This window comes from Homo sapiens, chromosome 4, assembly GCF_000001405.40.
Source record: "Homo sapiens chromosome 4, GRCh38.p14 Primary Assembly".
NCBI classification, from domain to species: Eukaryota; Metazoa; Chordata; class Mammalia; order Primates; family Hominidae; genus Homo; species Homo sapiens.
Genome location: NC_000004.12, coordinates 183,355,527 through 183,373,519, shown reverse-complemented (window position 1 = coordinate 183,373,519; position 17,993 = coordinate 183,355,527). Strand labels below are relative to the sequence as shown.

The window sequence follows — 17,993 nt, the reverse complement described above, 5'->3', positions numbered from 1 at the left end:
ATGCCCAATGTCTCCATTTCTACTTGAGGTCTAGCACTTGCAATAAGGCAAGAAAAGAAAAAAAAGGCATAAGGAGCAGAAAGCAAAAAAGTAAGATAACCTCTGTTTGCAGATGTAAGTAAATTGTGGCTGTTATTTGGGATGCGGAATTGAAGATAGTCCGTGTGAATGCAAAGTCAGCCTGTGAGAACCCTCTGCCGAGGGTGTCTGAACTGGAGCCTAGCTCAGAACTTGAAAGCTCCATAAACCACTCTGCATGGAGTTCCTGCTATCACAGAGGTGCTGCACTTATGTGGGCTGAGGTTTGGGGCACTTATGGAATCCACAGTGTTTGTCCCCTTCATGGTCTACAGAATCTCATGACAGGCACCATGCAGGTCTCCCTGTGCTGTGGAAGCACTGGCACTAAATCAGCTTCCGGGCGGTTATTCTAGCCTTTCAGCTTCGTAGGCCTAGATAATGTTTTAAGTTTTGCCTCAAACAGTCATATGCATTTGCAAGTAGTTAAAAGGGGAAATTGTCTTTTATATGTATCCACACATTTTGAGTGTTTTTCATTCCTTCCTGGAAATCTGAGTTTCCATGAGATGTAATTTTCTTTTTTGCCCGAAGAACTGACTTCAGCGTTTCTTGTAGTACAAGTCTACTGGCAGTGACTTCTCTTGGGTTTCTTTGATTTGAAGATGTATTTATTTTGCTTTCATTCTGGAGTGATATTTTTAACTAATACAGAGTTCTGGGTTGAATGGTTTTTGTTCAGCACTTTGAAGACTGTACTGCTGACTGCTGGCCTCCCATTGTTTCTGACGAGCAGTCAGTGATTACTTGAATCATCATTTTCCCAGATGTCACTTTGTCTTCTTTCAAGGTAATAAGGTTTGGATCCGTGTCCCTCCCCAAATCTCATGTTCAATTTTAATCCCCAGTGTTGGAGATGGGGCCTGGTGGGAGGTGACTGGATCATGGGAGCGTAGTTTCCATGGATGGTTTAGCACCATCCTCTCTTGGTACTATATGATGAGTGAGTTCTTATGAAATCTGGTTGTTTACAAGTGTGTGGCAGCTCTCCCCTCTCTCCCTCCTGCTCTGACCATGTGAAGCACCAGTTCCCCCTTCGCCTTCTGCCATAACTGTAAGTTTCTTGAGGCCTCCCCAGAGGCCAAGCAGATGCCAGAATCATGCTTCCTGTACAGCCTGCAGACGCAAGGGCCAATTAAACCTCTTTTTTAAAAAATAAATTACCCAGTCTCAGGTGTTTTTTCATAGCAATTCAAGAACAGCCTAATACACAAGTATTTCTTTCTCTCTCTTATTTTTAGAGATAAGGTGTCTCACTCTGTTGCCCAGGCTGGAGTACAGTGGTGGGATCATAGCTCCCTGCAGGCTCCAACTCCTGGGCTCAAGTGATCCTCCCACCTCAGCTTCCCAAGCAGCTGGTGTGTGCCACCATGCTTAGCCAATTTAAAAAAATTTTTGGTAGAGACAGGGTCTTGCTGTGTTGCCCAGGCTGGTCTTGAACTTCTGGCCTCAAGCAATTCCCCCACCTTGGCCTCCCAAAGTGTTAGGATTATGGGTGTGAGCCACCATCCCAAACAAGGGTCTCTTTACCTCTGGTTTTCAGCATTTGATTATGTGATTCCTTGGCATGGAAAATATTTATTGTGGTTGAGGTTCTTGGATTTCCTCGAATCTGGAAGTTCATACTTTTACCAATTTTCAGCCATCTTTCTTCAAATTGTATTTGACCCATTCTGGAATCTTAACTACATGTATGTTTGACCTTTTGATAGAGTCCCATATGTTTCTGAGGCTCTCTCTCTTTTAAATCCATTTTCTGCCTTTTCTTTACATTAATTAATTTCTATTAATCTATTTCTGCTGATCACTGACCTGTTCCTTTGTCATCTATATTCTGCTTTAAGCCCATCCAATGGATTTTTTGTTTGTTTCAGATATTACACTTTTCTTTTCTTTGGTTTCAAGTCTTACACTTCTCTGCTGTTTAATATATTATATATTTTCTTTTGTTTTACATATTATGTTTCCTAAAAAAATAATTTCAGCTTGGTTCCTACAATGATTAATTTTATGTATCAACTTCCCTGGACCACAGTGTCCAAATGTTTGGTCATACATTATTGCAGGTGTTTCTGTAAGGATATGTTTGGATGAGATTTACATTTAAATCAGTGGATTTTGAATAAAGCATATTTTTCTCTGTACCAGTGGAAGACCTGAACAGAACAAAAAGCTGACCTCACCTGGCAGGAGGAAATTTTCCAGCAGAGCTCAAGCCTTCTTTCCCCTCAGGCCATATAGCCTGTAAATCTTTACATTTGCTTAATTTCTGCCTTTCTCTATGAGCTCATTTTGCTTCTAGATGGGTCCCGGGTTCTTTCTTTTTGTGATCCCCTTGTCAGCCCTTCTGTACTTGTAGACCTGAGGCAATCAACGCCCATCCTTCCGTGGAGCATGCCCAGCGTGGGGAAGTGTAGCTGTGGAGGAGGGCCCCACCCCTCCCGGACGTCACCTGCAGTACTGGGAGGAGAGTGAGGCCAGGGATATGGCTACAGTACCAACACCCGCACTCCACCCCATCCCAAACACCTGCACGACCAGCGCCTGCAAGCACGGAAGAGCCAGCATTTACCCCCAGCCGCATAACTTTCAGAATCCCCCGAAGTGCTTTCTGATATGGGTGGTGGCTTCCCTTTCATCATTAGTGACAGAAGGGAAACCATCAGAAATATTGTATTAATAAAGATATCTTTCTGAGCCTAGTACTGAAAACATCCATCACAAAGAAAATTAGAACAAAAAATTGCAATGCGCTATAAAACATTGCTCTTTTTGGGTCTGTGAGCTCATTTTTCTTTTGAATGGATTCTGTTTCATTTTTCTCATCATATTGGAGTCATTGCTAACTGAAGAGCCGCTAAAAACTTACATATTCCCACTCCACCCTTTCCCTCATTTTCTCTGGCTATATTTTTCTTTCTGATTCTTCTCCATGGGATTTTTAGCTGCCTCTCTTCAGCGGCCTCAACACCATCGGTTTTCCTCCACCTGGTCTTTTATCACATCTCTCTTATTTCTGAAATGTTCACTGCTCAAATGTCTCACACTTCTTAGAGTCTCCGAAAACATTGATAGCCAATAGCTCTTCCCTGCCTCGCTCCCTCTCACCTTTGCTGGATGGAGCTTGGAACAGCTTTCTTGTTTGGAGCTGAAGATAGAATTGAGAGCTCCTGATGCCTGATTTGTTTTCTTTCTACTCGACCAATCCATTTACCTGGACAATTTTACATTTCAGTTCTCAAAAGCTAAGGATGGCCAGAACTTTTTAAATTTTTAAAATCAATTATTTATTTTGAGACTGGGTCTTGCTCTGTTGCCAGGCTGGAATGCAGTGGTGTGATCTCAGCTCACTGCAGCCTTGACCTCCTGGGCTCAAGCAATCCTCCCACCTTAGCCTCCTGAGTAGCTGGGACTACAGGTGGGCACCACTGGGCCCAGCTAATTTTTGTATTTTTTGTAGAGGTGGAGTTTCACTATGTTGCCCATGCTGGTCTTGAACTCCTGAGCTCAATCCATCTCCCTGCTTTGGCCTCCTGAAGTAGAGGAATTACAGGTGTGAGCCACCATGCCCGGCCTAGAACTTTTAAAGTAGAAGACTTCTTTGTCAGAGATAGCCTTTTCTTTTTCTCTAAGAGACATTCACCAGGAAATACCATTTTTTTAATTTATAATTTTTGTGGGTACATAATAGGTGTACATATTTATGGGGTACATGAGACACTAATTTTTTAAGGACATGTGAGCAACAGTTTAGTAGGGAAGACAATCCCGCCTCTTTTCATGGGTTTCACGTGCCTGCTTTCTCCTTCACTTCTGCCAATTAGAGGGGGAGCTTCCATCCCTCTTTGATTACGAGAAAATGCCAATTAACAAAAAGGATCAATCCTTTCTAAATCCCCCAAAATAGTGAAAAAGTGTGCAACTTTATTCTACTCCAAACACCTTTTCACAGTTTCATGGGTTAATGGATCTTCTTATTGAATTATCGAGCCAAAGCTTTAAACAAAAACATCAAAGCATCCTTTACCTTATTCTTCCCTAGCCTCAAGACAGGCCAGCCTCACAGCCCACCTCCTCGTCAGAACCCTAACACCACCTGACTTGCTCCCAGTGCACACTCATCAAAACTCACCCAGCTGCAGTGGCCTCTCAGTGCTCTTCCGCCTGACACACCAAGCAGGCTTCCCCGTGCGGTGATGTCTCGCCCTCAACTGGATGCTGTCAGTTTTTCTACAGTTCACTCACTCCAGTTCTTTCATCGTATTTTGATGCTCTGCTGAGAGAATCCAAAGTTGGGCAGACGCTTTGGTTTACAAGCCTTAGTTTACAAAATCAAAAGTGTAAGTGTTTTCTAAATCCTCAGCAATCTCTCATAATATCTGAAAAGCACGTTATTTTACTTCTGATACATTTTGGTGGTTGCACGGGTTAATGGATTCTCTTATTGAACCGCAGGTTGAGTATCCCTTGTCTGAAAGGCTTGGGGGTGGGGAAGAAGTGTTTTGGTTTTTGGATTTTTTTGTATTTTGGATATTTGCATATACATAATGAGATATCCTGGGGATGGGACCCAAGTCTAAACACAGAATTTGTTTCTGTTTCATATGTACCTTATAGACATAGCCCGAAGGTAATTTAATACAATAGTTTTAGTAATTTTATGCATGAAACAAAGTTTTGACTGTGGTGGTTTTTTTTGTTTTCTGTTTTTTTTTTTTTTGAGACAGAGTCTCGCTCTGTCATCCAGGCTGGAGTGCAGTGGCGTGATCTTGGCTCACTGTAACCTCCGCCTCCTGGGTTAAAGCAATTCTCCTGCCTCAGCCTCCCAAGTAGCTGGGGTTACAGGCATGTGCCACCATGCCTGGCTAATTTTTGTATTTTTAGTAGAGATGGGGTTATCGCCCTGTTGGCCAGGCTGGTCTTGAACTCCTGACCTCAGGTGATCTGCCCACCTCGGCCTCCCAAAGTGCTGGGATTACAGGCGTGAGCCACCGTGCCTGGTCAGTTTTGACTGTGTTTTAACTGCAACCTGTCAGTCTCACTTGAGGTTAGTTGTGGAATTTTCTACTTGCGGCATCGTATCGGTGCTCAAATAGCATTGAAACTTGCAAAAATAGCAGAAGCTCCTCTTGACAGGTGTCAACGTGGGAGTTTAGCAGCTGTCCGGTGAAGTGGAGCTGTGTAGATGACCAACCTGGAAAATTCAACTCTCAATTCTGTTTCTCCTTAGTTGTACCCCAGGCTGGCTGATGTCGAGTAAAGCAGGTTGGGGATCGAAGTGACCTGGATTACTGTGATTGTGAGATGTAACTTTTGAAGTGTGAGTGTACTTAATGCTGTCTAGTATCTGTGTTTCTTCCTGGAAGGTTGAGAATCTAATTTTGGTCATTGCGTAATGTTCTTATTTATTCACACTATAAATTTTAGGATGCTTTGCCTTGACACCTAATTATCTTTAAAAGGTAGTTATTTCCAACATTTCTCTTTTCTTTATTCTGTTTTGGGGCTCCTGATAAGTAGGTATTACTCTCTGAATGCTTATGAGTGCCTTGGAAGCTGTACCTGTAATAAGACAGTGGTTTTATAGGCCTTACTTTATTTCTTTAAAACATAATTTCTTGGCTGGGCACAGTGGCTCATGCCTGTAATCCCAGCACTTTGGGAGGCTGAGGCCAGTGGATCATCTGAGGTCAGGAGTTTGAGACCAGCCTGGCCAACATGGTGAAACCCGGTATCTACTGAAAATACAAAAATTAGCCGGGCGTGATGGTGGGCACCTGTAATCCCAGCTACTTGGGAGGTTGAGGAAGGAGAATTGCTTGAACCCAGGAGAAGGAGGTTGCAGTGAGCCACGATCATGTCACTGCACTCCAGCCTGGGCGACAAGAGCAAAACTCCATCTCAAACAAACAAACACCAAAAACAAAACCAGAATTTCTTACGCTACAGCTTCCTTAGGCAGAGTGTCAGCCTTGGCAAATCTGATGCCACCACAGTGCTAACAGTTCCTTTTTTTTTTTTTTTTTTTTTTTTCCTGAGACGGAGTCTCGCTGCCCAGGCTGGAGTGCAGTGGTGTGATCTCGGCTCACTGCGAGCTCCGCCTCCCAGGTTCATGCCATTCTCCTGCCTCAGCCTCCCAAGTAGCTGGGACTACAGGCGCCTGCCACCACTCCTGGCTAATTTTTTTGTGTTTTTAGTAGAGACGGGGTTTCACCATGTTAGCCAGGATGGTCTCGATCTCCTGACCTTGTGATCCGCCTGCCTCGGCCTCCCAAGCTAACAGCTACCTTTGAGGTTGTCCTTTGTTCTGGTTATTTATCTCTGTGCAAACCCTCACCCCGAAACCTAGTGGCTTAAAACAGCAGTATATGTTTATCTCTCAGGTTCAGTGGCCTGCCTGGGTGCAGGTGATTCTCCTTGGGGTCTCTTGTGCAGCTGCCATCAGATATTGGCTGGGGCTGGGGTCACCTGACGGCTTGCCCGGGCTAATTAAGGAGGGGTCATGAATGGGTAGGAGCGACAGAGTCCACGGTGCGGGGAGTTGTTAAATAAGACCCCAGGGCCACTGAATTGCTTCCCCACCCAGGTCAGTGAGTATTTTAGATCAGACAAGCACTTCTGAATTGTCTAAAAGTATCCTCCAGACCTAACAGAAACCAATTCACTGAATAAATTGCCCGAACCAACTCACAGAACCAGCAGATGTTTCGGGTTTCCTCTGTGGGAGCACTGCTCACCGCCCTGCTTCTGGGAGATGCGGCCTTTGAGAGATGGGAGCCTGTGGCCTCCAGGTTCGCCTAGCTAGCTCACCCAGCTACCTTCCCCCGGGCCTTACCCTCCAAGCTGGGTATAAAGGCGGGACTGACCTGGGGTGAGGCAGGAATCACCAGGCCTGGGCCTCGCCTCCCCTCCCCTCCCGTCCTCTCCCTCTCCTCATCGCGCACACTTTCCCTGCAAATGCCTGCCATTCTGATTCAGCCTTTGGCATTCAGTGTGGAAGACTCGATGCTAGAAGGCTGTCTGCAACCCCTAGCTGTGTTAAGGGCTGTGGCATCCTGAATTTCTCCCGTCCCACTGCAGTGATGACACTGTCATTAATACTGTCTATTCACGTCTCAGTGTTACCAACATGACCTCAAACACCAAGCCAGGGCCTGTATCTGTCTTGTTCACAGTTGTATCCACAGTGCTTAAAACAATTTCTAGCATACATTTCGGACCCAGTAAAAACGTGTTGGGTGAATGATGTCACCCTCTAAACCCTGTAAGTGTGCATCATTTCTCCTCTTTTCAGATGGGAGCTTGAGGTTCTGGAAGGCGCACTTGCTCGAGGCTGTGCAGCTGGGAAGTCCTAGCTGTATACCAGGTCCTCTGACTTCTTGCTTCATGCTGGGGCATTACTTCCTTGTGCTTAGGGAGGCAATTCCAACTGCTGGCCCTCACAAATCAATTAGCAAGCCTTTTTTTTTCTTTTTTTTTTTGAGACAGGGTCTCACTCTGTTGCCCCGGCTGGAATGCAATGGCCCAATCACAGCTCCCTGCAGCCTCAACCTCCTGGGCTCAAGTGATCCTCCCACCTTAGCCTCCCAAGTAGGTTGAACTACAGGCACACGTCTCCACGCCTGGCTAATTTTTGTATCTTTTGTAGAGACAGGATCTTGCCACGTTGCCCAGGCTGGTCTCGAACTCCTGGGCTCGAGCAACCTACCCACCTCGGCCTCCCAAAGTGCTGGGATTACAGGCGTGAGTCACTGTGCCTGGTCTTAGCGAGCTTTTAAAGAGGACTTTGCTCTCATCTGGGGGTACTATAGGGCAGATTTCAGCTCCAAACTGCACTGGTGCTATCAGCCTCCTACATCTTGGTATCTGTTCTGACCTTTAGTGACAGACAGCAAAGACTATGGATATTTACTCTGGGTTTGATCTGAGAGAAGGTGACAGCAGAGATTGGTTTTAAACCATTTTAGGAGCTGGCTGGCTGTCGTCAGCTTGCTGGTCGTGTAACTGTATTGCTACCGTACATCTGCCTGGAGAGTTTAACATTGGGAACGTTTTTAAAGTCTAAAAATAAAAGTCCATAAACAAATCAAGCTACAATAGTTCGCACACGATTGAATCTTTTCTGAATTCCAATAATGTGTAGCCAACGCTGACAACAAGCACTGGGGTCGTGGTTTGATTTGTCCCCGCTCTGCACCCCGAGTACCTGTGCCTGGCTGTCAGCACTGCCCTTGTAAACCACCTGCCCAGGATGGGTGTATCTTTGAGTTGATTTGCTCCAGGCTCGGGATGCTGTGTGGTTCTTGCGCAGACAAAGAACCAAATCTTCCCTGTCAGAGCAAGAATGCAAACACCCCAAACCATCCGTGAAAACCTCACAAAATCACAAGGAAAATCCAATAATACAGGAACTGTGTTGAAATGAATCAAACACCTGAGACACTGTTCTTCCAGCGTGGCTCAGGATTTATCAGGTCTGCTGAGAACAGCCTCTATATTTTCTCACTGGGCCCTATCACTAAGGCCTTCCTGCATGGAAAGAGCAAAGCTCTACTATAATTAAATCAAAGAGTGATATTATTCTCCCGTGGAAGTGTAAGAATTCAGGAAGGGCTGCGGTAAGCCCTTCTGTGCTTTGGGAGGATGATTCCCACTGGCGGCAGCCCTGGGGGTCACCATCAAACTTCCTGTGCAGTATTGTTTCTTCATGGGGTCTCAGGAGGTCTGGCTCTTTCTCAGCTTGTCACTGAGCTAGAGAGGGGCTGGAAAGGGGTGGCCAGAGATAAAAATAAACAGAAAGAGGAGAAAGAGGAAGCAGGAAGAAGAGGAAGAGAAAGAGGATGGATGGTATTGTGAGAAAGATGAAAGCCCTCATCGTCCCCAGGCTTTGATTCCTCTGCTAATCCACTGTCCCCAGGGGACTACCCAACCTGAGCACGCACACAGTTCCTTTCCTTGGTGTCTCTTAGTACAAAGGAGACAAGTTGGCATTTTCAAAAGGGCATTGACAAAGAAAAGCAAAGAGGAAATAGTTACAGAAAAATGTTGGTAGCATACAAAAGTCAGATTTCCAGAGACAGAGGTCTGATCCTACCACGGGGAAATTCTCGCTCCATGGCACAGTGCAGCCTCACAGGCGCAGGGGCCGGCCTCGTGCAGCGGGTGACAGGTAGGTGACAGGGCCATCTCAGGTCAGTCCTCCATCTGTCTCCTCCTTGATTCCAAGGAAAGCCCCACCCCCTAGTGCTCTTCCCCTCAGTTCTGCTTTCCCACGTGAGGGGTCACCCTGAGGACTGATGCAATGAACTTGTTCACCTTTTCGTGGGACCTACCAACGCCCCCTCCTGGGAATGGCTTTCCAGGTCTGCAGGTCCCCTAGTATAACAGTAACTGAAATACAACAATTTATGATCTTCGTAGAACTATAAACACACGTTATATCCTCAGATACTAGGCTTCACACAGATTAGGAGCTCAAAAAATATTAGTTGTATGAATGAATGGCACTTTCTTTCTCATACTGATTTACGGGGCCACATGATGGATATGCCTGTAGCCATGGATCCATCCACCTGGTGTGGGATTTGCCAACTTTCCCAGGTTCTCCCAGAGTGGATCACTATTTAAACCCTTTGCCGCCGGGTGCAGTGGCTCAGGCGTGTAATCCCAGCCCTTTGAGAGGCCGAGGTGGGTGGATCACCTGAGGTCAGGAGTTCGAGGCCAGCCTGACCAACATGGAGAAATTTGTCTCTACTAAAAATACAAAATTAGCCGGCCGTGGTGGCGCATGACTGTAATCCCAGCTACTCAGGAGGCTGAGGCAGGAGAATCGATTGAACCTGGGAGGCGGAGGTTGCGATGAGCCGAGATTACGACGCCATTGCACTCTAGCCTGGGCAACAAGAGCGAAACTCCGTCTCAAAACAACAGCAACAACCCTTTATCCTTTTCATTCCATTTTTCCACTCACCCAAAGCCTTCCACATGAATGCACTTTGTGCAGAAAGTAAAGAACAGCTATGCATTCGTGAGAAGAGGTCCAGGGGGCAGCAGAGGCCTCTGCAAACTCTCAGTTGCAGGGGTGGGTAGTACTCAGCAGGAGCAGCACGGGAAGCAGTCCCTGCGTGGGTGGGAGGAAACGTGACGGCTGGATGCCATGGAGCATAGTGAAGTCAGGGAGGTTTAGACAAGAAAGGCTACAAGGGACCAATTTCAGCTTCTGAACAATTTGCTGCAGGTGTGACATTTAAGCATATCTTCGGGAAATTAAGCAATTAGCATTTTGAAATCATACACAAGTCTTCACTTGATTTGAAAATCATACACAAGCGAAGACTTACGTATGATTTCAGAATGTGAATTGCATTTTGAAACGCAATTAGGGTTGCTAAGTGTCTTCTTACAAATGCTCAGGACAATAGAAAAATAACCTTACCTAGTTGAATAATGAGTTGCTATTACACCGCAATGAGAATGTTGGCTTTTGGGATTGCCAGAAAGACGGGACAACGTGAGTTCGCAGGTTACCTAAAGACCTGGGGCACAGGTGCTTCCATAGTGGGTGGGGGGGGCGGGTACACATTAACACAAAGTTCCTGGAGGAACAACCAGCTAAGAAAAAGAAAAAGCATTATTATTTTTTTTTTTTTGTAGAGTCGGGGTCTCACCACCTTGCCCAGGCTGGTCTCAAACTCCTGAGCTCGAGTGATCCTCCTGCCTCAGCCTCCCGAAGCACTGGGATTACAGGCGTGAGCCAATGTGCCCCACCTGCAAGAGCCTTTTTAAAAGTGCACTGGCCAGGCACAGTGGCTCATGCCTGTAATCCCAGCGCTTTGGGAGGCTGAGGCAGGAGGATTGCTTGAGGCCAGGAGTTTGAGGCAGGCCCAGGCAACATAGCCAGGCTCCATTTCGACAAAAAATTTAAAAAATAAAAATTAGCTGACATGGTGGCACATGCTTGTAGACCCACCTACTCTGGAGGCTGAGATGGGAGGATTGCTTGAGCCCAGGAGCTGAGGTTATGGTGCATTGTGATGGAAACTCTGTCTCTAAAGAAAAAAAAGTACATTTCCTTTTAACCAAAATGCTCTGTATTTCCCCATGGAAACACTCATCACACTTTAGCGCCTTGTGTAATACCACTGGACTCAAAACCTCGAGGAGGGACCATGTCCGTCTTTGGGATCATTGTTCTGTCTCCAGTGTTCATTCCAGCTGTGCGTTAGAAGACAACACATGTGTTAAAGGGTTACTGAATGCATCCCTCTTCTAGGATGAATACATCCCAGGAAACAATTGGCTAAGTGTGCAGAAATGTCAGTCAAAGGTCATTTGACTTCATGGCTTCTAAAAAGTCTAAAAATGAGAGACTGGTTACATGAATTATGAGAATTTATAGAATAGAATACTATGCAACCATTTAAAATAAAGCTCCATATTTAATGACTTGGAAAGATATTCACAATATAGAGCTATAACACACTAAAGCCACCTATGCAACTGCACACAACTGCATTTTTAGAAAGTAAAAAAGCTGTGTAGTAGAAAATGAGGTATTTTTATTTCCTTCTCTAGGTTTCTGTATTATCTGATTTAAAAAAAAATAGACATATATTTCTTAAAAAATTCATCTTATAGTATAAAACCCAATAAAATCACTTCTATTTTGAAAAAAATATTGTAATTGTTTGTGCCATCTGGCCATTCTTCAGATATGAGGCAATTACGTGTTACACTAGTGAAAGGTGGAAAAATGGCTTCAATTAGACAAACGGGAAACTAGCACCTCATTAATTGAAGAAATTAAAAAGAAGGAACTGTGCCTACTGGAGCTCTCTTCTTTTTATCAAACAGAAAAACTGAAAAGGCATTTACTTAGTCCATGTTGTGCTGCTATAACAAATTACCTAAGACTGGATAATTATAGTAAAAACAGAAATGTATTTCTCACAGTTCTGGAGACTGGGAAGTCCAAGACAAATCTGGTGAGAGTCCAGTCTCTGCTTCCAAGATGGCGCCTTCATGCTGCCTCCTCCAGAGGGGAGGAAGGCTGTGTCCTCACAGAAGGCAGAAGGGCAAGAGAGTTGAACTTCCTCCATCAAGCCCTTTTATAAGAGCACCTAATCTCATTCATGATGGCAGAGCCCTCATGTCTCAATCACCTCCCAAATGCCATACCTGTCAATACTGTCGCATTGGGGATTGCATTTCAGCATAAGTTTTGGAGGGGACAGAACATTCAAACTATAGCAACTTTTTTTTTTTTTTACATAGTCTTGCTCTGTCTCCCAGGCTGGAGTGCAATGGTGCAATCTCAGCTTACTGCAACCCCCACCTCCCGGGCTCAAGCGTTTCTCCTGCTTTGGCCTCCTGAGTAGCTGAGATTACAGGCGCCCACCACCATGTCTGGCTAATTTTTGTATTTTTAGTAGAGATGGGGTTTCACCATGTTGGCCAGGCTGGCCTCGAACTCCTGACCTCAGGTGATCCGCCTACTTTGGGCTCCCAAAGTGCTGGGATTACAGGCGTGAGTCACTGCTCCAGGCCTATAGCAACATTTTAAAAAATAGCCAAGAAAAGAAAAGTGCATCAGGAGCTGCGTGCATCTGTTTGGACAGCCACCATGAAATACCACAGACGGGTGCCTTAAATGACAGAAATGTATCTTCTCACGGTTCTGGAGGCTGAGAATCCCAGATCAAGGCCCTGTCAGGGTTGATTTCCGGTGAGGCCTCTTTCCCTGGCTTACAGACATCTGCCTTCTCACTGTACCCTCCCACGGCCACTCCTCTGTGCTTGCAGCGAGACAGGTCTCTGGTCTCTCTTCCTTTTCTTACACAGTCACCAGCCTTACTAGATTAGAACCTCATTCTTATCACCTCATTTAACCTTAATGATAATACTTCTTAAAGGCCCACTCTCCAAGTCATGTTGGGGGTTAGGGCTTCAACATATGAATTCTGGAGGAACACAATTTAGTCTATAACGGGAGACGGAGGTGTTGATTTGGTGCCCAGTAGAGACTCAGAACAGCTAATCTGGAGATGATGACTCACAAGCACTTCTTTTCTTCTTTTTCTGATACTGACACAAAACTATGCATGATTGGGATCTGGGGTCAGCTTCCTGGATGCTCCTAACGTCCTCCAGCCCCTGGAATGTCCTTTTCCTGCCATCTTCGTGTGACTTGCTGGAGGCTCTCCAGCATGCTCTAGATACAGAAGGTTCAAGGTCTCACCAAGCCTTCTGGAGACTTACCCAGATTTGGGGGTGGGGGATACAGCCTTATGTTCCCACAATGATCTCTTGTTACAAATTCCTGCTTTTCGTGCATCTTGGTGGCCTGTGTTCCTTGGTGGCCTGAGTTCCTTGGTGGCCTGTGTTCCTCGGTGGCCTGAGTTCCTTGGTGGCCTCAATTCCTTGGTGGCCTGAGTTCCTTGGTGGCCTGTGTTCCTTGGTGGCCTGAGTTCCTTGGTGGCCTGCATTCCTTGGTGGCCTCAATTCCTCTCTCTTCATTTCCCAAGGCACTAACAGCACAAGGATTTGATGAAAGTTTAGGGCTCAAGAGGAGTCCTACGTGCTGCTCGGATTAGGCAATGACTTGCAACTAACTACCAGCTGTTCCTGCCCAGGGCCTTCTCATTCTGGCAGCGCCCCCTGCTATGTTTTCTGAGGCCTGCACTCCATTTCTAGCCCCTTCTGTTCCTCTTCTCATCTTCTAGGCCCACAGAGTCTTTTCCCTCTAGAACTGCCAGAACACCCAAGTTCTCATTACTTTACTGAACTGAGCAATTTAATTCCCTCATCTCCCACTCTCCTCTGCCTAATCCCAAGTCACCCAGACTGGACAGGGCCTTCATCTTTCCTGACCAAAAGGCCCATAAATGTTTTCTTAAGCCTATGTGCCACCTACTTTTTTTTTTTTTTTGGAGACAGGGTCTCGCTCTGTCACCCAGGTGGGAGTACAGTGGTGCAATCTTGGCTTACTGCAGCCCACACTTTCTGGACTCAGGTTATCCTCCCACCTCAGTCTCCCACGTAGCTGGGACTACAGGCACACACCACCACACCCAACTATTTTTTTTTTTTTTTTGTAGAGACCACATTTCGTCATGTTGCCCAGGCTGGTCTGGGATGCCTGAGCTCAAGCGATCTGCCTTCCTCGGCCTCCCAAAGTGCTGGGATTACAGGTGTGAGTCAACACGACTGGCCGCCTGCTACATTGAACAATGCCTTTTCCCCTAGAATGTGAAAATTCTGTAAGAATTTCCCTTTTGAAATAGTAATCTCTCCTCATTAAAGGTGCACATATATCAGACTTTGGAGGCATCTAAGTTGCTGATACTCGCAACCCTTCTGTATTTCTGTACACACATGCCTATGTCTATACATACAAAATTAGTTCTTTAAATAAATAAAAATGGGTACGTTCTTTAAGAATCTGTTCCCATTTCTGTTGTACAAGCTTTAGAGGTATGGAAGCAAAACAAGAACATATGGAAATGGTATTCTGGGGTTTAGCACAGACATTTTGTAAGAAATTTCAAAGCATCGATGTCTCAAAGCATATTTGCAAAGTGGGGACTAGAACATGGAAACCAAGAGTTTCCATTTTGGTCGCGTTGCAGCTGTGCCAGGTCTTCAGAAAGCTCAACCCGAGACCTCCAGCCCTGCCGTTCCTTGCAGATGGTCCACTGGTCCAGGCTTCTTGCTCGGCTGGGCTTTTTCTCATTACACTCTTGTGGAGAGGGCACCCCTGGGGCCAGAAGAAAGATGATGTCCTCTACAATGGCCCCAGGATGCTTATTATGATTCCTCCTCAGCTCAGAGCAAGCCATGAATAATTTAGGGCGGCATTTCAACCCCTCGTCTCCACTGGCTGTTCAACAAATCCTTTTTCTCCCTCTTTCTGCCTTTGATTGCCCTGGGAATGTTTAATAAAGCATCTGGCATTGAGTTTGTGCCTCAGCGTTCAACAAGCGCGACTGACATGACCTCAGCACATGCGTGTGCATTGACTGGAGGCAGCATAAATACCGTCTTGAATTCATGACCTGGAAGCATCATGGGCTTAGTGTGGGTACCCACGCTCTGGAGGGACATTTGTAGCAACAGCAAGAAGGCCAGATAATGGCTCCATTTAACAGCCATTCAGGACCATAAATATATTTCCTCGAATAAATCTGCTGATTACCCGCGCGCTGACTTGACAGCTCAGCCAAGTGGTTTGCCCTAAATGTTGCAAAAGGCCCTGCCACGAATCCATCCGTGTGGAGGACCCGGATAAAGAAAGACAATTGGTGGGTCCTTTTCGGAAATGATTGTACCACATGAGAAAAGAGATGGGGACAAAAAATCTCACAGGAGCAAGCATTTAATATCTGGCCAGTTGCCTCTACAAAATCATAACTACTGCTTCAGGAAAAATTGGCCACAATTCACATCCCAGACATGTGTTACGACAAATATTTTTGAGAAGACCAAAAAAACAAAAACAAAAAAATCCCCTGTGTTTTCTTTCAGATACATGATAAGGATGAGGGTGGACAATCGAATGCCGGTTTGTTACACCTTTAGGGGGTCAGGTTGTTTAAGATCCTTCAGGGTCTTCCCTTGGCTTTTGGGATAAAGTTTAAATTTCTTCCCATGGCAGAAGAGACACTTCCCGGTTCGACTGCATCCTCTTTGCCACAGAGAGTCTTTGTGATCTGTTCTAACCTTAGAGAACCACCGGCAAACGACTCGTTACCTGGAGTTTTCTCCCCTTTCCCATCCCCATCTCTCCTCACCTGGTGAAGCCTAATTTACCATTAGGAATTCAATCGATCGGTCATTCCCTCTGCAAAATCTCTGTTGAGTCCCTTCTCCTACCCCAGCCTGATTGGATGTCCGTCCACCTTGCTCCTCCAGACCCCGACGGCCAGCATGGGTTGTCTTGTGTGGTTTTCTTGCCCATCCTCCAGCTGGGAGAAGGGGCCACGTCCCTGCGCTGGATCATAGCAGGCGTTTGATGGCCATCTCTCCAACAAGAGACAGCATGCAGTGGACTCCTATGGTGTGCCAAGCCCTTCACCTGCCTTATCTCCTAGTCCTCCCAACCAGCCTTAGGGGGTGGGGACTAGTAATAGCCACAGTTTTCAGGTGAGGGAGCTAGGCATAGAAAGCTTCAGCAACCTCCCCAAGGTCAGGCATGTGGCCAGTAAGTGCTGGGGCCAGGCCTGCACCCGAGCACCTGCACTCCTGGGCTGAGTGAATAAACGCACGAGTCCAGGCATGCCAGGGAGACATCTTTCCTGTTATTTCCTGAGAGTGGAGGGTGGAGAGGAGCCCGCAGGGTTCTTGGTCACACACACCGGAGAGCAGGTGAGTCTGATGCTTGCGTTTGGTGCCGGCGGGGCAGGCCGGGGCGGGGCGGGAGAGTAGGGGGGAGAGGCTGCTCCTCCCCTTCCATGTCTTCTTGCTTCATGGACGTCTTGTCAGCTCCTTGCTGTAGGGGTAACAGTCACAGATTAGAGGAGTAGAAGTAGACTATTCATTGTCTTCAACTGTAAACAATACGCCCTACTTGTCCTTATTACTGCTACTCAAACATCAACATCTTAGAAAAAATGCCTCCTCCCTCCAGATCTTCTTCAGACTGAAACCCTATCGCAGGGGCCTCCCGCTTGCACGGGGTCTCAGCCACAAATCATCAGAGGCAGCGGCTCCACAGCTGCCCCCTTCCGGGCTCTGACGACCCATCCCTTAGAGCCAGGTGGGGAGGGAGGGAGAGGTGATCAAGAGGAATGGCGGGAACCAACCCCGGAGGGGACTGAGCTGGCGGTCAGGCTCCAGCAGAACTTGCCTTTGGTTGTCCAGAGAGAGCATGGCTGCTGGACGCCCAGGCAGGCTGCAAACCGTGCCCGTTAGACGTGTCTAGTGCTGCAGCGTGGAACGGGGCTTGGGGCTGAGTGCGCCCTACGTTTGCCTGTGGAAGATGAGCAGGAAGGGAGAAGGGAAGGCAGGGAGAAAGGAGGGAGGGAGGAAGGAAAGAAGGGAGAGAGAGGGGGAGGAAAGAAGGGAGGGAGGCAGAAAGGAGAAGGGAAGGAAGAAAGAAAAAGGGAGGGAAGAAAGAAAGGAGGGAGGGAAGGAAGGAAGAAGGGAAGGAAGAAAGAAGGAAAGGGACGATGTTGGAGGAAACCCAGACTCGGAGGATAGGCAGACTGAAGTTTTGAAGAGGTGTGGCTTAGGCCTGAGGGAAGAAGAGCCACCGGCCATGGCTAACTCAAGGTGGGCTCACATCTGAGGGTAGGCGTCATGTTTAGAATGGTGAGTTTCATTTTCAACTTTTTTTTCAACATCTCCTCTTTCCCATAGTTTGATTTTGTAAGGCCTTAGATGCATGTTAATTTTCCTGTCTGCAGGGCTTGGATTTGATGGACGGACTAGTTGCCCCACTGGGATCCTGAACGGCCCTCTCAGTGGCCCAGGGGCTCAGAGGCAGACCCCTTGACCTTAGTCCCAACTTGTGTCTACTCACTCAGCATCTCGTGGTTCAGAACTGCTTGGTTGCCGCTTGAAACATGAAGCTAGTTTACAACAGTTATGTTTTAATTTTAGGCATAATTGCTTTTTGAATAGAAGAGAATGATTCTGACATTACAGCATAGGTTCCAGAGTTAGTTCACTGTAATTCAGTTCCCACAATTTTACCACGAAGGCCTCCTAATGAGATTAAATCTAAGCATTACACAGTTGCCCATTTATTATTTTTCCTTGGCATGCCCAGATAGATGGTGATGACTAACCTGAACTCTGATTATTTTACCACAATAAGGTCAGCTCATTGAGGGCTCATGGCTGAGACCCAGAAAATATCATAACTCACTCAAGATAAGGTCTATGTCATGGAGTAAATCACAAACTCTATAGTTAGA

The 17,993-nt window shown here is 46.4% G+C and overlaps 1 annotated feature.

Moving 5' to 3' along the window:
- Positions 14,895-15,395: an enhancer, noted in NCBI's record as "H3K4me1 hESC enhancer chr4:184279278-184279778 (GRCh37/hg19 assembly coordinates)". NCBI's record gives its function as "activates a minimal SCP1, AML or CMV promoter by ChIP-STARR-seq in primed H9 embryonic stem cells {active_cell/tissue: H9 hESC(primed)}" and the evidence as "EXISTENCE:reporter gene assay evidence [ECO:0000049][PMID:30033119]".